Source organism: Homo sapiens, chromosome 3, assembly GCF_000001405.40.
Source record: "Homo sapiens chromosome 3, GRCh38.p14 Primary Assembly".
NCBI classification, from domain to species: Eukaryota; Metazoa; Chordata; class Mammalia; order Primates; family Hominidae; genus Homo; species Homo sapiens.
The window spans coordinates 44,022,768-44,045,633 of NC_000003.12; the positions used below are offsets into that span (position 1 = coordinate 44,022,768).

The following is a 22,866-nucleotide window of genomic DNA, read 5'->3' on the forward strand; positions in this document are numbered from 1 at the left end:
GTGTATTGTAAAGACTGGACAGTGTGGTGTGTTGTTTCAGTTTAGGGATGATTATGGGATTGATGTTATGTCTGTGGGACAGTCACTGGTATGCTCCCATCAAGGTACATGAAAATAAATGCTGCCTTTTCATTACAAAGGATACCACAGTGAACAGGGAGACATCCCTTCAACTGTATTTTCTATATCCTTATTTTATTCTTCAACTTTGGTTTTCTTCTTCCATATCCCTGTATCCATCCATACACAACCCCATCATTAAAAAAAAAAATCATCTCCACAGACTCTGTTATTTTTCAGGAACTCTATTATGCCTATAAACTTGACCTGGATTGTGTTACTAATTTGGTAGGTTATTTTGTCATACAGGAAATCACAGCCTATGGGTCGATATGTGCATATGAACCCCTCAGCTAAATTATCTAAATTGTTTTTAAAAGATATTTTTAGGCCAGTGAACACTTAGCAAAAATATCTTTACAGATCTCGATAAACCTATTTTTAGTGTCAGTACTTTAAAAGCTTGCTCAACCCAACCGGTTCTAATCGATGTAAAATGTGCTTCTAACAAAAGATATTTATATTGTTGTTGATTAAATTATTCTAAATTTCCTTTATGGAAATACCTGACCTAACAACAATAGAAATTTTACTGTGTAAAATATTACTCTGATTTTTAACTCTAGAAAATGTATGCATTTATTATATTTTTGGAGGAAGGAGCCATGTAAGAATGGATAACTAAAGTACAGTAACATTTGTTCTGGGTTCATGTTTTCTGTAAACTTGCATATTCTACTTGATATACTTCTATCACTTTTAACAAATCCACTTAATTTTTCATGTACTGTGAATTTATATTATATATTAAATAGATGAATATAATATGCATATATACACATATGATTTAATCTATGGATAGAAATGACAGCCGTTAGGATGAGAATAATGAAGCATCTGCCTCTATGAGAAAGAGCGCAAGAGAGAAACCACCCCAGATCGATAACTTGTAAGTAACCAGCATGAAAAAGGGCCAAAAAGCTTTTCTTTTCTTTCAGTTCTTAAATAAGCTTTTCCTGGTGGTATCATATTCATGTTGGAGTGATTAAGTAAAAACAAGAAGACAGAACATTTACTAGGCAATATGTTGTTTTTATTTTGTATATTTACTATAAAAATGTTTGAAATGCCTTTATCATCTGCTGAAAAGTAATCATAGAATTGACATTATTGCAGATGGTGTGAGAGATTTTTAAGATTAATGATAGTAGATATGAGTTGGAATGTAATTGTTAAGCTTAAGGAAAAAAATCTAGCATGTAGATAGAGTGTGTTTGGTGTCTTTGTGCCTGTTTTATAGAAGGCACGTTACCTTTGTCTTCGAACCACAGCACTGATGTATCACACGTGGAAGGAATGTGTAACGACTTAACACAGCAATAATACATTTAGCCTAGTAAGCAGTACATAGATCTTTCTGAGGTCTTGAGCATAGTAGAAACTTACCACAGAGAATATAAGGAATGAAAGAATTAAAGTGATGCTGGGCTGACTGCATCCTGAGCAAAGAGATATTATGCCTTGAAATGTGAATTTTTGAGTGAGCAGACAGTACGCACTCCCCTGCCCCACCTTTCGCGGCGCTGTGTCTACGTGGCCTTTTGTTTACTGTAGGTAAGAGTTGGCACTAAATCCCTGGGGATGATTATGGTGTATATATACAGTCTTTTACTGATGGTCTGAATTCTTTCGTGGTCCTACGAAATACATACATGCAAACACATTCATTAAATAGTAACCCAGGAGAGCATGTGTTCTTGAAGTCCATTTTAAATTCATTTAAAAGACTATAATGGAATTTTGAAAACACCACTACAAACCATTACCCTTCAGATCACTAGCTGAGACTTTTTTAACCTAGAAAGTGACCTTTTCTCTACCAGAAACTCTTGACCATTAAAAAGCATTTTTGTCTGTTTGTTTAGGCCTCTGTTCTGAGGAAAAATAGCAAAGTGAACTATCTCTCAGTATCAGAAACATTTGAGACAAACCTCCTATTTGAGGTTTGGCTTTGAGGTCAAACTATTGGTTCAAGGATTTGCTAACAAAAATACTTTCCTCATTTTGATGAATAATTAAAAGGGAGCTGTTTAATAGAAAAGCCTATACCCAAGCAATGGTATTGTTTCATGGTCTGTTGTGGTTGAATCAAGAAGCAGGAGAAAGTCCCTTCTACTTTGTAGATGCTGGTGATCATCCCTTGTTTATCAAGGGTGAGGTTGGGAATGAAATTACTGGGGAGTGTTAGAAATTATATGTGTAGGTATTTACTGATACACAAATCTATGCATTGTATTTTTAAATGTGGCCAAAAGTAAGATGGAATTCTTCTAGTGGCTGTCTGTGGGCCTGGAGCATTCTCGTTACCCCACTAGGATGTCTTGAATTTCCCTGAGAAATTAGATGGAATGAAAAGACCTGTCCACGCTGGTAGAGTGGACCTCCATTTGTAGCCAGTATTTGACGTCTAGCCATCTTTTAGTCAAAACTGTCTCTGGCCTCACTTTAACATTATTATTTTGGGATCAGGATGATTCTCTTCCCCAAAAGAACTATGTCTTCTATGTACTTGAAAAGGGCCTGATTTTGGTAGTGTTTCGCAAAACTCTGTTCCGGAGAGACCGTAAAATACCTTAGTGATTTCTTCTTTATGTAATTTACATATTTTAAGCACTTTATTTCAGGTCAGTGGCCTATTTTGCTACTCTAGATGATTGACCAATGTTAACAAACCCGACATATCTTGGAAAGAATAAATTAAGAATGGCTCCAGGAAGCCCCAAAGGCCCTCAGTAACTAGTTTCTAATAGATTCAAGGAAAAATCCTCTTACCCTTTCTTCAAATTCTATCCCAAATACAGTGCTCTACTGGTTGATAATCAATAATGACTCATGAGGGACTTGACTTGCAATGAGGTTTCATTGTCTCTCCCCTACACAGGATTTCTCCCTGACAGTCTCCAGGCGACTGAGGAGTAAAACAAATGCTTTTCCTCTGTGCTTCAAGGATTACAACATGAAAATCAAAGTGTACAATAGCATCAAGGTATTATTTAATTATTAGACAGCTTATGGTTTTTGAAATTAAGTGGTAATAGTAGCATCGTGGAATATCTAAATATGCATGGCAAACACTGGATGCTAGATGTGGTTACACAGCCCAAAGATAAACTTTTGTGATATATTCTTATGCATATATTATAGCATAACCTTCACACCATTACAGAACTGTCATATGCACCTAAGTAAAATGTGGATGGGTAGGAAAATAAGAATGTGTGCCAATCTGGTCTGAGTGCTAAATTAGGCTTGGAAATTGACCAGTCTTCCTTTTACTTAACTCCAAAATCATTAAGACAGGGACCTGACGGGGAAGCTAGTTATATGGAACAGATACACTAGTTGCACACTGTAGTCACCTCTTTTGCAGATCCCCTTCTCCTGTCCTGAAGAATTTCCCTCCTTCCAAGCAAGCTAGAGGTAGTAGGAGAAACAAGAGCAAGGGAGGCAAGCAGTGTTGCTGAGGTCCTTCCTCCACTGTATCGCGTCTGAGCATGTAACCTGGTGTTGCCAGGGGCGTAGAAGGGGAGTTCGCTGTGTGTTGGCACAGCATGAGTAACCCAGCAGCCAGGAAAGTGGTGGAAGGGAAGCAGTAACTGAGAAATCATTTCCTGTGGGCTGTGGGAGTTAAAGGGCCATGTAAGACCCCTCCTGTTATGCCTCCACCACCAGCTACCTGGAGGGTTGGATTTCTGTTCCTAGTTCAGCAGACGTGCTCCCTGGCTCCTTCCTGGAAGATACCATTATGGTTGCAGGCCCAGCATTCTTAAGATGTTGCTCTTGGTCACAATGACAGACCAGTAGAACTGGAATCAGGTTGAGCTGTATGAAATTGCCAGTGAGTTCAGCCATTTCTGACCTATAAAAATGAGAATTATTCATCTCCCTATTTCTTATCTTGCTCTATTTCTTTGCACAGCAACCAGATCATGTAATTCCCCTGCCTAAAAATTCCCCCTGGCTTCTCAGGGCACTCAGAATAAAATCCAGGCTCTTTACCTTGGCTTCCTCGGAGGTCCTCCAGGAGCTGGCCCCTGCCTGCCCTTCTTCTCCATCTCCCTGCTCTCCTTCAGGACACTGTTCCTCCCAGGCTGGTTTCCTAGTTATTCCTAGAACTCACCAGCTGTTTTCTGCCTCGAGATCTTTGCATTTGCCCTTTGCACTCCACAGCTGGCTCATTCTCACAATTTAAGCCTCAATTCAAACTTGATCTGCTCAGAGAGGTTGTTCCTGGTCCTTATATCTAAAGGAAGCCTTCCACATCACTCCATTAGCCCATTTTATTTTCTTCCAAGTACCTTATTCCTATCTAAGATACTCTGTTTTTGTTTTTGTAAAGACGAAGTCTCGCCATGTTGCTCAGGCTGGCCTGTCTCAACTCCTGGCCTCAAGCAATCCTCCCTCCTCACCTTCCCCAGTAGCTGGGATTACGGATGCAAGCCACTGTGCCCAGTTGAAATTACCTTTTTTATTGGCTTACTTCTTAATGGTTGTTCCCTTTGTGACAGTGGAGGAAGGAGCCAGCACGTTGCCTGTCTTGTTCTCTGCTGTGTCCCCGCCGACCTGGAGCACAGCAGGTGTTTAGTAAGCATTTGTTGAGTGAACATATTGGACACCTTTGTGCACCACTGCAGCCTCTCAGCTTGTAGCCATTGCAGAACCTAGTTATAAGCAGCTTCCGGCAGCTTCTGGCAGCTTCCCTCAGGCACAACCAGGGGTGCCCTCCCAGGAGCAATTCCTGCCTCTCACTTCCTGCCCTGTGCTAGCCATCACCCTGGAGTAGGACCCTCTCCAGTGAGGGCTGGCAGAGATCTACTTTCCCCATTTATCCTCTACTGATAGTTCTGAAACCCATTTGTTTAGGTTCCCCGGATTGTCCTTGTAAGATCCAGTCCAGTCACCCATAGTGGCAGCGAACCCAGTGATGCCTCCTGTACTTCCGTGACCTCCTCCCCCATCCCATTCTCCTGTCCCCAGTCCTGCTAAACTGCCTGCCTTCCAGCCACTGTTGTAGGCAGTGCTCTTTGGGGAACCCAGACTAAATTGGATGAGCACCATTGCAGAGGCAAAGAAGGTACAATAGGTTTCATGATCTTTTTCTTAAAATATCTCATTCAATAAATTGCTATACTATCCAGTCTATCTGGTAACAGCTAAAAGTTAATAAGAACTTACAGTTTTAAGTCAAAACATTTAATCCTCATGGCAACCCCATGAGGTATCGTTCCCATTGAATAGATGAGGAAACCGAGGCACAGTGACATTGAGTAACTGGCTCAAGGTCCCACAGCAGTCAGGGGCAGAGCTAAGTGCAGGCAAGCTAAGTGCAAGCAAGCTAAGTGCAGGCGAGCCATTACCACCGATTCTCTTAACCTCCTTATGTGACCACACTCTCCTGGCTCTTGTTACCCACAGCCTCAGTCCCTCCTTCTGATCCCTCTGTCTCTGCTGTTTTTCTTTGCCTGAATCCTTAAGTCTCTCAAAGTGGCATGCATACCCAAAACACTGGGAGACCATGATCTAGCGCTAATAATTCATTTTTCCCCATTGACTACAAGAGTTAATTTGTGACAGGACAAGCAGGAGCCCACACAAAGCTGACCCCAGCATTCAGACCAGCTGTGTGGTCCCTCTTTCACCCTAAGGATTCCAGTTCTGTGGTTCAGCGCAGTAGTGAGGGCTTTGGTGATGGGGTATCTGCACTGCCCTGTCCAGCCTTGGGAGCTGGGACAAGCCCCTTCACCGTTCCTTCAGCCCCATTTCCTCTTTCCTCTTCACAGTACCCACCTCGCAGCATTCTAGGGACTGAACATGACAAGGTTTGTGAAGTGCTGAAGACACCCAGCTGCTGGCAAGCACTCAGTAGACGGTGGCTGAGATTGTTCTTTTTGTAGTAGTTATGGGGTGAAGACAGGACTTGAGGTGGGCTGCATCCAAGGGAGGGGCCCGTCTTCTCTATTGTACCTTTGAAAACACTATCTGGTTTCTCCCTGCCTCTAAGCCAGAGAAGATGGAAGTGCTAGATGGCAAGGAGACACCATTATTTTTCCTTTCCTCCCCTCCCTAAACTCCCTGCTACTCTGTCTAGACCTGCCATGGGTTCTGCCTTTTGTTCTAGGCATCTGGAACCCTAAGCATGAGCCCATGTCTTCTCACAGCCTATGTCATGTCTGTGGGACAGGTGGTCTTGCAGGGGGAAGCATAGGTGCAGTCTGTCTGTGAGGTCCTGGTGCCTGCTTGGGCAGCCCCCATGGGACTAGCCCCTGTGAGGAGGCTGGTTGAGGTCTGTGCATCATCCCACACTGTTGGAGGCAGAGTCTCCAGAGGCACTTCCAGAGCAGATGCTAGGCTATCAGGCCAAAGGCAGAGGGAAGCTGGGGCCTGACTGGTACTCTCCAGGCCATCTGATTCCTCTGTAGGGACCCTGTTACCCACTGTGGGTAGGCTTCCCAGCCAGAGTCAGGCTCACCTCCCCCATCTGTGAAGGGGTGAAATCAGCACAAACTGGTGACAAATGCACTTAAACGTTTCCTTCCCAGTCCATGCACATGCAGGTAGATGCGCTTTCTGCACACTTTCTGATTAGAGGTGATGTAGTGTACTACATGTACATACTACATACATACTACATAGTATACTATACTACATGTAGCATTGTAGTTTTTGATTGGTTTTTATATTGAGGGTGTTGCCCACCCAGGGACATGGGAACTAGAGGGTGTGCCTTAGCTTTGAGCAGAACTGAAGTGGCTTCTTCTGCCACTTGGCCCCCTGAGTAGGAGGTGAGCCACCTGGAGGCCAGTGGTTATGATAGATTGGCACACATCAGACTTCCTTTCAGCGTTCATTCATGAGGACTGCCAATTTCCTTCAATGCATGGGACTCTTCACTTGACAGGTATTCACTGTCCAGACACAGGGCCCTGATGCCTCAGAGAAGGAACATTTCAGGGTAGCTTTAAATGATATCCTATTGATGCTGTTTATAAAACCAAGGAATAACACATCAGGCAAAATTGACTGATATTGAAAATAAAATATCTTTTCTTGCCAGTCCCTTCCTATGGAAAAGGTAGAATCTTTGAATAGGCAATGGATAGATTGTTTTGGTATCTCTTATTACTTTGGATTTCTAATGTAAAACCAAGTCATACTTTGAGAAACTAATTTTCCAACTTTGTGCTCAACTCTAACGGAAGGTAGCAGGGTCATTATTGAGCAAAAGTGACCAGAACAACCATTTTTCTTCTTCCATGTCTTCTATTATCATGCCCAGAAAAGAGCACTTTAAAATAACATTGTTTTTCCGTTTGAGTCTCTTTAAATCCTATTGATTCAAATAACCCATTACCCATTATTGTAGAGGACTCTGTTGACTACCTTCTCAGGGTGTTTTCTTTAATATCATCTTTAAATCTTGCTTATGATTTTGTTGTTCTCTTACTCATCAGCGTTTCAAGTCAGGTGTCCCCAAAGCAAGGCTTTTATCTTTCTCCTTCTGCGGCGGCACGTCCATCATTGTACAGGGCTGTATGTGTTTCTGCTGACAGCTAGAGGACAAAGCCAGCAACATCTTTTGAGTAAAAATCTGCATGTAGTCTAAAGATCTTTTGTAGATCGGCCTTTATAGTTCGTTTTCTAGGCTTCATAGTTCCAGTTTATTTGTAACTCCATCTTCGTCTTACTTGAGGAAATGTCACTGTGTTTTCAAGCCCACAGGAGAACTAGGTCAAGGGTTTTAGATCTTTTGCTTTGTTTGTTTTTTCTTTTAATCATATTTTCTTGTTTCTAAAAACTTAAAAGTGAAAAGGAGAAGCAAGAATATTGAAAAGTAAAACCGTTAATTGGTCATCAGATTAGAAGTGCAAAATTACCAATAACATAACATATCTGTGTAAATATACAGAACTGGGACTGCCATACATAATTTATTCAAATGCTTTCTTCATTATTCCCTGTTCACTTTCAAAAGAAGGAAGTGAATTGGCCTTGTGCACTGTTGAGAGTCACTTTGCATATGAAATGGTTGACTTTCTCACCCCTTTTCCATTTGATTCTTTGTCCATGTACAGTACCATTCTAAAATCTATCAGTTTCTCTTGGTCATCATTTAAAAATTCATATTGATATCAGTATAATGTGAATGAAATGCTTTACAAATTTGCATTACAATGGGAAGACACAAAGTAGGCTGGCTTAGGTTACCCTATGCAGACTCCATGAGTACCTCTGCTGGCTTGATTCCCAGGGTTGTGGTTTAAATCTGGACCAAGAAGAGTTACCAGATGAGGAGTTTATGGTCAATCAAGAAACACTTCACTGGGAGATGATGGATAAATGGAGAGACAGTGGAGGAGAGTGTCATATGGAGCTCCCAGTGCTGTGATCACCCAGAGATCCAGGGGTTCCTAAATGGAGGTGAGGTACATTGGAGACCACCTGGGAATGAATTTTTAAAAATTTTGAGACAGGGTCCCACTCTCTTACCCAGACTGCAGTGCAGCGGTACAATCATGGCTCACTGCAGCCTCAACCTCCCCAAGCTCAGGCGATCCTCCCACCTCAGCCTCCCAAGTAGCTGAGACTACGAGACAGGGCTTTGCCCCAGGCTGGTCTTGAACTCCTGGGCTCAAGTGAGACTCCTGCTTCAGCCTCCCAAAATGCTGGGATTATAGGCATGAGCCACTGTGTCCAGCCAGGGCTGATTATTATACATTCAGATCCCCAGGCCACCCCTTCACAAACCTGAGGTTCTCATTCAGTAGGTCTGAAGGTGGGCTTGATGTGTTCTGTATTCTAACGACTCTGGTGACTGACGAGCAGCCTGATTTGGTTTCTTAGCTTCGGTTTCCACATCCCTAAAAAGAGGGTAATAACATCTATTTCACAGAGTTGTTGGCAGGAACTGAAAGAATGTGTGGGAAAGGGCCCTGGGAACCGTGAAGTGAGACAGACTAGGACGTGCTGAATTAGTGGGTTTAATTCTCAGCCGCCTCCTAAAGGAGTCTCTACTCTCCACCCCAGACTGAGGCCCAGGCCCTGCCCATGGGTCTCAAGATGCTGAAAAATATTTTGTTCCCAGTAGGATCCCGTTTTCAATCTTCCTCTTCCCACAACAAAATGCGAGGAAAGGCCTTCTAACTCCCTAACTCTGTTCTCGTTCTTAGATCTCAGCACAAAAGGCGCTTCTCCAAGGGAACCTTCTTTGTGTTGTTGTTTAAAGCAGTCCAGTAAGAAAGACAAAGTTCCCTATGGCCAAGAGATTGTCTGTTCTCTCTTGTATCCCCCAAACCCTAGCTGTGCCTGGCGCATAAAAATATGTGCATGATCAATATAGGGAGGAGGGAGGAAGGAAGAAATCAAGGAATCAGGTACTCTAAATAGGACTCAGCTTTGTGCCTTATTTTGTAACTTGTCAATCAACCCAAAATAAGGAGCCAGGGAAGTTCATCCACGTATTCCCACAGCCACCATCTCCCTGAAGCTTTAGCCGTTCTACTGTTGAACTCATTATCTTTTCCCTAGGTCCACTCCTGTGTCCCCATCTCTGTTAACAGCACGGCCAGCCATCAGGCTGTCCAAGTCACAGATCTTGGCATCATCCTTGAGTTTTCCCTCTCCCCTACTGCCTGAGGCCCGTCTATTCTTCTTCTATCACTTCTCTGGTTCCATGCATACACTGTGCAAGTTTGGGTTCAGAACTGCATGGTGATGGGGCCATTTACACCCGGTAATTCAGACAATCACTCTCAGGCCATTCCCACAGGCCTTGCCTGTTCAGCCTTTGTCATCGCATTCCAGGTCTCAGCTTCCCATGGGGTCTCCCTGCCTGCAGCCACAGATGTGATGATCTCTACCTTGCATTCTTCTAACACAGTTCTCAAAGATGGGGTGAAGGTGGAAACCTGGTCCTTGAGAGCTGTAGGTGACCCAGGGACAGGGGCTGTGTAGTTTAATGAGGAGTTTTCAATATTGTCATTTTATATTTAGAAATGGGAAAAGAACACAGGCAAGCTGGTGGGCTTGTGCAGCATAAACCAAAGGACACTACCCCAACTCCCCTAGTGCACGCACATGTGTGTGTATGTGTGTGTGTATGTGTGTTTGTGGTGGGGGTGCATTTCAGAATCTCTCGGGGGAGGGGGTGTGACTTTTTGGGTTACTTTTTTAGTAAGGGAGCATGGATTTAAAATGGCCAAACAGTACTGCATTATTGGCCCTCAGTTGCTCCAGCAAGGGCTTGCCTTTTCTAGGGGAAAGGAAAAGGCATGCTGCACAGCCCACCTCAGCTGCACCCTACATGCAGTGCATTGCCATTGAGCATGCATCTCAGATCTGAAAGCTGAGTCTCCAGTGGGCAGTGAGAAAGAACTGGTGCACCCCCATGTTCCTGGCATGGTTGCCCAGCTCTGTAGCTGGCATTCCTAGCCCAGTCCAGGTGGTCACCCCCACTCAGCCTGCCTTTGCTGCAGAACCTCCCTCCACTCACGTGACCATTCAGCCACTCCAGAGTACTCACCTCTTTTAAAGAGGGTCTTAAGCTGGATTTTGCCAGGGGTGGGAGGCAGGCTGCCAAGGCACGAAATCTGCTGGCCTTCCCCAGTCCACACCTCTGGCCAAGATTCCCAGATCCCCATCAGTATTGTGACTTCTTCCTCTCCAATATCACCAAGACCTGTAATTCTTTATCATAGGATGTTGTAGGTCTCATGGTACAGGTGATTTCTGTTATTCATGCCTGTCTTCCTCACTCAAATCTGATCTCCTTAAGGACAGGAATCTTGGCAAATCCAGCTTTGTGTCTTTAGCACCCAGCACAGTGAGTGGTACACTAAATAAAGACTAGGTGGATTGGTGGGTGGGTGGGTGGGTGGATGGATGGATGGATGGATGGATGGATGGATGGGAAAGGAAGGAAGGAAGGAAAGAAGCATTCCTGGTAATTCATAAGATGAATAATGACAGCATTTGCAGTTTTCATGAAAGACAGGGGCCAGGGATACTTCTCTCCTGAAAAGCTCCTTTTGAATATAAATGTAACCACCACAGCCCAGATTGTAAATTGTGAAAAGATCAAAAGCTTTGAAGCCCACCTTTTGTTGTTGTTGTTGTTGTTGTTGTTGTTTGTTTTTGAGACAGTCTTGCTCTGTTGCCCAGGCTGGAGTGCAGTGGTGCAATCTCAGCTTACTGCAACCTCTGCCTCCCAGGTTCAAGCCATTCTCGTGCCTCAGCTTCCCGAGTAGCTGGGATTACAGGTATGTACCATCATGCCCAGCTAATTTTTGTTTTGTTTTGTTTTGTTTTTGAGATAGAATCTCACTCTGTCTCCCAGGCTAGAGTGCAGTGGTGCAATCTCGGCTCGCTGCAACCTCTGCCTCCCAGGTTCAAACCATTCTCGTGCCTCAGCTTCCCGAGTAGCTGGGATTACAGGTATGTACCATCATGCCCGGCTAATTTTTGTTTTGTTTTGTTTTTGAGATAGAGTCTCACTCTGTCTCCCAGGCTGGAGTGCAGTGGCACAATCTCAGCTCACTGTAGCCTCTGCCTCCTGGGTTCAAGCGATTCTCCCACCTCAGCCTCTCGAGTAGCTGGGATTATAGACGCCCACCATTATGCCCGGCTAATTTTTGTGTTTTCAGTAAAGGCCGAGTTTCACCATGTTGGCCAGGCTGGCCTTGAATGAAGACCTGCACAGTTACTGTCTGTGGGAAATCAGCTCACGTAACTGGACCTTTTCATCAGTGCGCCTTTCCTGTCCTGTCCCTGGAATTGCGAGGTGTCCCCCATGTCTGGTTGTCCTTGCTTTCCCACACTTTTCTTGAGATCGCTGCCCTTCTTCTAGGGGTGTATGAAGTAGGCTCCCCAAGCCCATGGCGGCTCCTGGGTGGGGTCGGATCTCAGCCTGACCTGATGTCTGAGCAACGGTGAGGCCAGCACAATGGACAGACACGATGTGGCTGTGGGCTGTAGGGTGCATCTTGTTTGGTGGGTATAGGAAGCTTTTAGGGTACTGGCTTTCAGCCACTCTGCCTCAATAATTAAATAGTCCCTCCTCCCCCAGTGTCTCATGGTGAGGTTGCAGGGATAAGAGGGAATTCGCTTTTTGGCCTTCTTTAATATTATCCCTTTAAGGAACATTAGACATTATGATAGAAAAACCAAAAATCAAAGATGACATTCTAGTTCAGATCTTTTTTAAAAGAGGGAAGGTATGACTATAAAATCCCACACAGTAAATGTACTCATAGCTACAGGGATTTAATATTCTTTTTATTTGAAGGTAAACTTCAATTTCTCATTATTTAAATTCGGAAATCTTAGGCTGTCGCCAACATTTCAGACAATTTACTGTTTTACAAAATAATGATAATAAGACAACAGTAAGGTGATCCTGAATGATTCTCTAACTTGTATGTTACATAAAAAAAAATTGTTTAGAGGCTGGGCGTGGTGGCTCACACCTGTAATCCCAGCACTTTGGGAGGCTAAAACAGGCTGAGCCCAGGAGTTTGAGACATGCCTGAGCAACATGGAGAAACCCCATCTCTACAAAAAATACAAAAAGACTAGCTGGGTGTAGTAGTGCACACCTGTAGTCCCAGCTACTCAGGAGGTTGAAGTGGGAGTATTGCTTGAGCCCAGGAGGTCAAGCCATGATCACGCCACTGCACTCCAACCTGAGTGACAGAGCAAGATGCTGCCTCAAATAATAATAACAATAGTAATAATAGTTTAGAAACAAGGTTTTTTTTTTTCCATGGAGAAACTTCTCTTGTAAAATTCTAAAATGATTCTGAAGGCTTTTCTCTCTTTCCATCTTGTCTTTCATTTTCCAATCAGATTGCAGAGGCCATTCCTTTTAGGCTTTTAGTCAGCAGTTTCGATATTCTTCAAATCCAGTATCCAGCTTTTGTGTCTTGGGGTTGGAGTCAAAGGCTCTGTTGTGATGTTTTTCTGTTCCACAGCAATCACCATGCCCTTTGGAGAGTGCAGTGCCTTAGTGAATGCCTCATTTCTATAACATCACCACTTTTTACAAGAGCTATGCGGCACACATTCATTTTTTACTATGTGTTTTTCTCTAATTCTAAAAGGAATATATGTTCATTTTAGACAATTTGGAAAATACAGAAAACTGTGAAGGAAAGAGAAGCACCAACCATAGTCATACCCCTTAGGGATATGACTGATAATCCCTTCACCTAATTCCCCTAGTCTTGGTCTGTACAGATATGAGCCATAAATTCGAGGTCAGCCCTACATACAGATTTATATCCTGTTTTCTTCCCACTTTTATTTTGAGCATGTTCTCACATTAAGCATCCTCTCTGAACACAAAATGTTAATAGATAAATAATATTCTACCATGTGGAGCTACCTGATACCTGAATTTATTTAATTGTTCACCTACTGCTGAATGTTTAAGTTGTTTCTGTTTATCACAAGAATGAATAGTGGTTGTTCGTTGTTAGTAAATCCTCATGCATGTCTCTAGCTATGTGCATCTGCTCCTGTAACTTTTTAAATTGAGGTCTATTGTGCGAGCAATAAAACACACAGACCGTTAGTGTACGTACTTACATATGGACACACCTATGTGATATGCCACATCAAAGGCTCCTTTTACATTTCCCTATACATTAATTTTGCATTCGTTTTTGGGTATTCAAATACAAGCAGCTGCTGGGGACTTTTTATGTATGATCTCATTTTATGCTTGTGGGCACCCTCTGATGGAGATATAGCTGTCCCACCTTTCCAGCTGAGAACTTTAAGACTCTCAGCACCTGAACAGGTTGCCCAAGGTCATATAGCAAGTCAGGGTGAAGTCAGAGTTGGATTCGAGTTTTGCCTGCACCCAGAACTTTAATTCTGCATATTTTCTCTTAGATAATTAAAAATAAAAGCTGCCAATATCCTTTGATAGGACAGAAAACCATTGGATTTCATTTTGTTTGTTTTTTCCTTTACGACTACACTTGGGGATCAGTAACTGACCACATACCTTCTCCTGTTTGTAGCTTACATTTAAAATCGGCAGAGAATTGGCATTGCTGCTTTCTGGTTTTGGTCATGCATTTTGCTCAGGGCTGGAAGGCACCGTTGGCTGTCATCGAGTTACAAGCCCTCACCTACCCACTCACACCCCTCCCACAGACTCAGGCTTTCCCCAGTTCTGTTACCAGAGAGGAACACTTCTGAGCACAGAAGCTGATGACAGCCACTTAGCAAGTTGTCTTGGGCTCTGTTGCCAAAGCACAGGGAGAGACAACCTCAGTTAAGGTGCACAATTTAGATTGGAGGCATGGGAGAAACTTCTGGTCCATTTTTCCAGCTTGCCCGATTTACAAAGATGACACTGAGCCCAGTTGTCTGCCTGGGGAGACAGGCCATTAAGAGCAGGCCTGAGACTGAAACCCAAGGATGTCTGCCTCCCAGCATCTCATCGGGTCAGTGGACACACATTTAGGGTAGAGGGTCTGGGCCTGTCAGATGTCACCACTGCCTCTTGAGGACACAACCTGATTAAAGGCAGTCAGGTTGAATGGCATCCCAAGTGCATTCCCACTGATGGGAAATTTAACAAGATGGAAAAAATTGTCTTACCCAGAACTCCTCAGTGTATGTGGTTAGGAGGACTTCTAGGGCAAGGCATTTGGGGTAGGATGCAGTGAGGGCTCGCCAGCCCCTCAAGGAGCAGGCTGGATTAGGTAATCCATGAACTGGCATCCAAGGTGTGTGAGGCCAATTAACCCAAGGGCTCTGGTTCACTGCATGGGTTGTGCAAGTTTGGGGCCAGCGTTGCATGGCGATAGGGCCGTCTGCACCCAGTAATTCAGACAGAGCAGCAGGGTTTGAGGCCTGGTTTAAGTATGAGCAAGTTGCCCTCCTTCTAAACCAGCCCCCTCATTCCAGCTCAGAGCCCGTGTGTGCCCAGGAGGATGTGTTTTCTTCGGGTCCTTTTGTCCTCTCTGGGAAGTAGAGCCAGGTGTTAGGAGGGTGGTCACCGAACCACCTGTGCCTCTCAGCTAGTTCCTGTCTTCTCGGTGGGGCTGATGGGAATGATGATAATACCACCTTGGGGAAGTGGAGAGAATTAAATGTGTTAGTGGCTACAGAGCATGTACAGTGGTGCCCAGCCCAGTAAATGGTAACTATTGGCTTTTATTTTCTTCTCAACTGTTTCTGACCCTTAATTCTTCTACATTCCATTTTTTCCTTGTTTCTCTCTCTGATGCATTTCACACTATTAGACTTCTCTGCCAGTGTTTCTGATAGAAGACTTAAACCGTGATGCTCTGTGAAATTTGTATTATTTTACTTAGAGTTAAGCTTCCTCCCATTTTTTCATGTTTTTCCATAATATTTTGCATTTTTCTGTTGTAGGACTTAAAGCCTTGGTTTAAGAGTTGCAGTCTCTCACTAGACAATGCTCCTGCAAGGCAGGAACTGCTGGATCCCCAGTGCTTAGCCAAGATTCTGGCCTAGAGCGAGTGCTAGCAAATGCTTATTGAGTCAATAATTTTCCTTACAAATAACCCTTAGAAAGACAAGGTCACTGATCGCTGGTGGATGTCCTCAGGTCATCCACGGAGACACTTCTTTGCAGCATTATGTTATCACTGTCAGTGGCCACCCCTTCCTTCTTTCCCCTGGACTGGCTTACTTCTGAAGTCCTTTTCTTTTCTTTCTTTCTTTTTTTTCTGAGACTGGGTCTCATTCTGTCACCCAGGCAGGAGTGACGTGGTGCAAACATGGCTCACTGCAGCCTCGACCTCCCCTGGCACATTTTATCCTCCCAGCTCAGCCTCCTGAGTAGCCAGGTCTGTAGGCACATTTCGCCGTTCCCTGCTAATTTTTATACTTTTGGTAGAGATGAAGTTTCACCATGTTGCCCAGGCTGGTCTCGAACTCTTGACTTCAAGCAATCCACCTGCCTTGGCCTCCCAAAGTGTTGGGATTATAGGCGTGAGCCACTGTGCCTGGCCTGAAGTCCTTTTCTTAGCATAAGTGACTTTCCTCTGCTGCAGATGAAAAAAATAATGTTTTTCTTCCATCTCTTCTATTCCTTTGCTCTAAAGGCAAAGAGAGAAGAAGATGCCAAGAGCAAAACCTGCACTAAAGACGTCTGTTTTCTCTTTCTAGCCTGGGACTTGGAGGTAGTAAGAAACCAGCCTGTGTTTTTTCCCCTTCTGGTTTGTAGCATCTCTGAGAAGTGGACAGAAAGTCAGCATTCCTTATTTGTTGAACTGGCTGCTAGAATAAAGGATATGGGGCACCATGGGGTCAGTGGAACTTGCCTACCTCAGCACCTTAGAGCTCATGCCGGCTCATCTTCTCTTGCCCTTCTGGTGTGAGTCAGTCATCTGGGAAATTCTGATTTCATAGCTGGGCTACTGGTAGAATTGACTGCTGTCACAGATTAAAGAAGAAGGTGTTTAGTCATCTCAATAAATGTATGAAGAGCTTTTGATAGAAATTTGACACCTACTCCCAATTTTTAAAAAAGTTATTTCCAATGTGATGAGAGGGCCTAATAAAGGGCATCTACCAAAAACATACAGTGTACATCCTGAATGGTGAAACACGCAGAAATACGGCAAAGGTGCCCAACTTCACCACTTCTTTCTAGCATTGTGTACTGGGAGTCCCAGCCACTACGACACAACAGGGAAAAGAAATAAGGGGCATAAAGATTAGAAAGGGAAGAAATTTCATGTTTTTCAAACCATGTGGTAGTCTACTTAGAAAACCCAATATAATCTAAATGATTAGAACTATTCTGTTAATTTAAAAAGTTTGATGGATACCAGTTTGATAGCACTAAGTACTTGCAGCTTCTTAGTAGAAAATGAAATGTAAAAGATTTTATTCTAAATACTAAGAAACTCAAAAATAAATCTAATAACAAGTAAGATGTGTATAGAGATAACTTTAAAATTTTTTGAAAGCCAAGAGAGAATGACTAAATAAATGGCAATATAAATGAATCCTGTAAAAATGGCAAGTTTCCCCAGATTAATATGTTAATTCAGTAAAATTTCAACAAAAGCGTCAAAAAAGTTTTTCACAGGATTTAACAAGGAATCCTAAGGTTCTTGTAGAAGACTAAAGGGCCAAGAAAAACCAAGACAAAGAATAAAGAAGATAGTCTTGCCCAATGAAATAGGTTTTTCTTTTTTTCATAAAGATATTTTTTAATATGGTATTTTTCAGAGATCAACATGTCATATTTGGTTTCTCTAGTCTGACCTTCTGGCCTAGGGTCACATCTGAGTTATATTTCAGAGGTGGCATTGTCAATCGTGGGAGAAGGGAGCCAAGTCAGTTTACTGTGCTAGAAAGACTGATTTTTTTATATAGGGAAACATGAAAGTAGATAGCTTTCTCATATCTCACAACAAAAATAAATTCCAGATGGATCTAAGACCTAAATGTGAAAGACAAAGTTTTAAAATGTTTACAAAAAAACAGGCAGATATTTTTATGACCTCAGGGAGGGAAAGATTTCTTACACGAGACACATACAAAAAGCACAAAGATAAAAGGAAAAAATTAATAATTTTCATAACATAAAAGTTAAAACTTACGAATGACAGTAGAAACCATTTTTAAGAGGTGGAAATACAAGACCTTCATTGGGAGAAGATATTTGCAACATGTAACAAAAAACTAATTCAGGCTACCCAAAGGCCTCCCAGGATTCAGTAAGAAAATCACTAACAAACAGTCCAGGTGCAGTGGCTCACGCCTGTAATCCCAGCACTTTGGGAGGCCGAGGCGGGCGGATCACCTGAGGTCAGGAGTTCAACACCAGCCTGGTCAACATGGTGAAACCCCGTCTATATTAAAAAACACAAAAAATTAGCTGGGCGTGGTGGCAGGTGCCTGCAATCCCAGCTACTCAGGAGGCTGAGACAGGAGAATTTATTGAACTTGAGAGGCGGAGGTTGCAGTGAGCCGAGATCGTGCCATTGCACTCCAGCCTGGGCAACAGGAGTGAAACTCCATCTCAAAAAAAAAAAAAGAAAGAAAAGAAAATCACTAACAAACCAGTAGAGAGATGGCCAAAGTATAGACAAAAGCTCTTTGCAGAAAAGGAAAACTGAATAATCCATAAACATGAAAAGATGCTCAATTAGTAATCAGGAAAATACACATTAAAGCCTCCAAAAGCAACCATTTCACAGCCAACAGATTAGTTAACATGTTGACATCTGACAAAACTGAGAGGAAGCACTGAAGTAGAACCTCATACCTGGATGGCAGGCTTTTAAATTCAGACGGAGCTGCAGCGTCTAGCAAATCTGAAGACTACCCACTACCCAGCAACTCCATTTTGGTTTTCTACTCTGGAGAAACTCCTCTATTTGCACAAGAAGATGCACCAAGATGTCAATCACAGCACCTGTGACAGGAAAAAAAAAAAAAGGAAAACAACCTGAATATCCATCTGTAGGAGATTAAGACATACTTTATGGCACCTCTAATCAATGCAATTCAGAGTGTCTGTTAAAATGATAGGGATCAATATGGGTAAACCCCAAAATTGTAGTGGTGACTGCAATGATGCCATTTATAAAAGAAACTTTTGTAGGTATATGGGGTTTAGCTATATGCAATACATATGTGTAGGTAAAATATGTAGGTAAAAAGGTGGATATTGGCCAATTCTTATCGTTCAACCTAATACATATGTAATATAAATACTAAAAAGGAAGGGAAGGTTACCTTCCAACTTCACAAAGCGATTGCTTTTGGAGAGGGAGGGAGAGGAATGAAGTCAGTTAAAACCTGCAAAGGGAGTTTCAAATGTGTCTGTAAAGTTTGATTTAGCACAGAAAACTGGAGCATGTGGCAAAACGTGAACATTTGTGGAAGCTGAGTTGTGGGTACTTGGGTATTTTTTACTTTATTCCATGTACCTTTCTCTGTATTTAAAATATTCGTAAGTCACAAAGAAAACAAAAGGGATTCATTGGCACGGAAGGTCAGTGACAAGAGTGCATGCAGATGTGGTTTCATGTAAGTTCTTGTTCTCCTTTTGTGCTTCATTCTCAGACAAAAGGCAAGGTAGGTGCGGTCACTGCTGGCCTGGCCACTGAATGCAATAACAGCCAAAGGAGGAGGGGGACTTCTGGTGTCTCCTGGAAGAATGAGGGACCATCTTTCCCAGAAGCCCCTAGAAAACTTCTGCTGTAGTCCCACTGGTCCAGGGTAGGTTATATGTCCAATCCTAAACCTAACCATGGGGCCAGGAGAATGCCAGCAGTGATGGCTGAGGCCTGTATTCCCAAGCCAATCATGCACAAGGGGATAGGATCACTCTTAGATGTGATAGGTCCTTGGGAGAAGCTGTAGGTGAAGATCGGGTGAGTTGTGTAGGGGGTAGGGATGGATACATAAGAAAGCTAGCTTTCTGTTAGAGGAGAGGGGAAATGGATGCTGAGTAGGAAACCAACCCAACAGTGTCTACCAAAGGAAAGACTGTCAGAGGTGAGATCCAAGTGTAAGGGACTGTGTGTTTTAAGTGGAAACCTATGTCATCAGATTGCTTTTTAAATAATTGAATGAATTTACATTTCCACCCGTGATGTTGAGCCATACCCAGCCTGACCCACCAGCAGTGGGATTTCTCACCTATCAGATTGGTAAAAATTAAAAAGAGTGACAGCGATAGCATATCGTTGCTGTGACTTGCGTTTCCCTGACAACCCCTAAGGTTGGGCATCCTTCCTTGTGTTTGTTGGCCATTTGAATGTGCTCTTCTGTGGACTATCAATTCATGAATCTTGCCAAAACAAGAATTCTTGTCAAGCTTTTAGACTGCATAGGATTTGAATATGTTTTAAAGGCATTCTCTGAGCTGGGAGGTGAAAAGTGATTATCCATATCTGGAAGCAGCTTGGTGTGTTGGTAAAAAGAATTATTCAACAACCAAGATACCCAAGATTCTTATCCTCGGTACTCTGCCCTGGTCACTTGTCACATTAGGGAACCGAGGCCCAAAGAAGGAAGGCATTTTACATATGCCTATATGTAAAATGAAAGGGCTGCACCGTTATTTGTAAGGGGCTTTCCAGCTGTGGTACTTCGTGCTACTGCTTTGGACAGGATTGCAGAACTCTGTCTGCCCTTGACTCTCTGGAAGTTCAAGTCTTCCCCTCCTACCTTGTAGTGATCCCTCACTGAATAAGGTGATCTCTGTGACTGGAGCCCACCATTCTGGGCAAACTGGAGTCCTTGACTCAATCTGTAGTGCTCAACTGGGTTTTTGTTCCATCTTGGATTTCTTAGTCAGGAAAAAAAGCTTTTGTCCATTTCAGCCTCCTCTCCTTGCTCCAAGTTGTTCCATGTAGGGTACAGGTGGGAGATTCTGGTTCTGGAGGTAGAAGAGAACTTTATTTATATTTTCAAAGTAGCCGTATAAAAGCAAAGCCTGACTTTAGGGCCAGTGTTTGATGTCAAAGCAGCAAGGCAACAAACTTTCATTAAGTTACCTCCAATGTTTACTTGCGAATTTTGGAAGAAGCCTGCCAGTGTTTGAGGATTGTAAAAATCCACTTGACATCATCTTCATTGACATCTGGACGGGCAAAACGCAGGTTATGAAAGTCAGCTGGCTGGCACATGCAGGGTGAGTGTTTGGGGCTGGATATGATGAGGGGATTTCGCTGGGTTAGGAAGCTAACTCTGGTGCTTCTGAGTACCTAGAAGCGGGCAGTAGAGAGCAGAGCACCAGCTGTCCTCTTCTCCCCACGTGGCTATGTGTCCAGGGCACATTAAATGATGGGCCAGTCCTACCAAGGGTAACTCCTACCTTCTTGCCTCCCACAGCCGCTAGACACAGCCCTGCTTTTGGTATAGGGACTTCATGGAGTTGAGCCCTTTCTGCAGCATGGAGAAAACCTTCCTCAGAGTTCCTACCTGTTACTTTCCTACAGACTAGAACATGCAGAGAATTCCAGTAATTTCCAACCCATAAACCTCACCACCCTGTAGCCAACATGCAAACCTCCCTTCTTAGTGTCACCGAAGCATGCCACTCAGAATGGCAGATGGCAGGTCATTCCAACCAATAGGCGTGGGTTTCTGGGCCAGAAACTCTGAGGAATATGCTGCCTTTTCCTTAATGGCTATAAGGACAGGGGAAACCAGAGAAGTCGTTTTTGTGGTATTTCATGAGCATGCACGGTGCTGTTATTTTCCTGGTTTTAACATAATAGGACTTGTTGCTTTATGTTTTCATATATTCTTCTTGAGAAATCAAAGTCATTCTTTGTATACAGTGGTTTCCATTGAAACATTATCCAGCACACATTTCTAGACATCTGTAGTCAGTTTCTCAAGGTAGTGTTCAGTTATGATACCCATAAAAAGTGAGACCCCTTTAACTTGGTTCTCTCCAAAGCTTAAACTCATATTGTTCACTATAACAGATGTCCACAGAGTGTGCACCATGTCCAGATAGCTGTGCTCAGCACTGGATTAATTCTGATCAATTAAAAGGTGATTCTGCCCCATTATTAATGATTTAGAATTTGATATCTTCATATAGAAGAACAAAGATTATATTTTAACCTATCTTAGCAGATACATTATTTTTGGGTATTTTCTTTTTTCACATTGGTAATCTTTTTTTTTCTTTTCAAATCCAGTCATGCTTTAAAAAAGTAAGGAAGGAGGCCAGGAGCAGTGGCTCACGCCTGTAATCCCAACACTTTGGGAGGCCAAGGTGGGCGGATCACCTGTTAGGTCAGGAGATTGAGACCATCCTGGCTAACACGGTGAAGCCCCGTCTCTACTGAAACCCCGTCTCTACTAAAAATACAAAAAATTAGCTGGGCGTGGTGGTGGGTACCTGTAGTCCCAGCTGCTCTGGAGGCTGAGGCAGGAGAACGGCGTGAACCCAGGAGGCGGAGCTTGCAGTGACCTGAGATCTGGCCACTGCACTCCAGCCTGGGCGACAGAGCGAGACTCCATCTCAAAAAAAAAAAAAAGTAAGGAAGGAGACTCTGTGTCCTACTTAAAACCACCTCTAGTTTCCTCACTGCCTGCAGGGTAGAATGAAAATGCCTTAGCTTGCGTGGTGCTTCCCAGGCAGGCAACCTTTTCCTTTGGGCCTAAGCACTTTGGACTTGTCACCCTTCCCAGTCACACTGTGCTTCTGTGCACCCCACGAGCTGATTGCTGTGCTGGGAATGGCCCTCCAGCCCCAGCTGCACAGGCTGACCAGTTCCCTCACCCATCACTACCTGGCCCCAAGGGCCAGGCCCCCACCGAAACCTTTCTGCACCCATGTTAAGCATTCCTCCACAACCTCCTGCAACGTGTTCAGACCCTCGTGAGAGCACCCTAGGTTGATGTTCTCTGCTCACCTTCTTTTTTTCTCACTGGTCTGTGAGCTCTTTGAAGTTAGAAGGCATCATTACTTTCATCTGTCTTTCCAGCATCTAGTAAAAATAAATAAATAAATAAAGCCTCTAAAACAAACCACTAGAACATATAGGCTTACGTCTGTACCTCAATAATGAACTCCAGGCTATCAAGTGATCATTCGTTTGCTCATTCATTCTTCAGCAGAGGGACTGTGTTCTTGCTTTCTGCTAGCACTGGATGTTAGATGAGGTGCTGGGAACCCCAGACACTCTTAGAGCTTCTACTTGGCAAAGATGGAATTGAAGGTTAACAGACATTTTATGAGACTTGGTTTTGGAGTCACATTAGTTTAGGGTTGATTATTTT

At 43.3% G+C, this 22,866-nt stretch overlaps 1 long non-coding RNA gene across 4 annotated transcripts in view, besides 2 other annotated features; it reads left to right on the forward strand.

Moving 5' to 3' along the window:
* LOC124909489 (uncharacterized) overlaps positions 1-22,866 on the forward strand; it is a 123,033-nt gene that overhangs the window by 23,436 nt on the left and 76,731 nt on the right. The window lies entirely within an intron of this gene.
* Positions 6,522-6,611: an enhancer, noted in NCBI's record as "active region_19756". NCBI's record gives its function as "activates an Ori minimal core promoter by ATAC-STARR-seq in GM12878 lymphoblastoid cells {active_cell/tissue: GM12878}" and the evidence as "EXISTENCE:reporter gene assay evidence [ECO:0000049][PMID:35858748]".
* Positions 19,254-19,323: an enhancer, noted in NCBI's record as "active region_19757". NCBI's record gives its function as "activates an Ori minimal core promoter by ATAC-STARR-seq in GM12878 lymphoblastoid cells {active_cell/tissue: GM12878}" and the evidence as "EXISTENCE:reporter gene assay evidence [ECO:0000049][PMID:35858748]".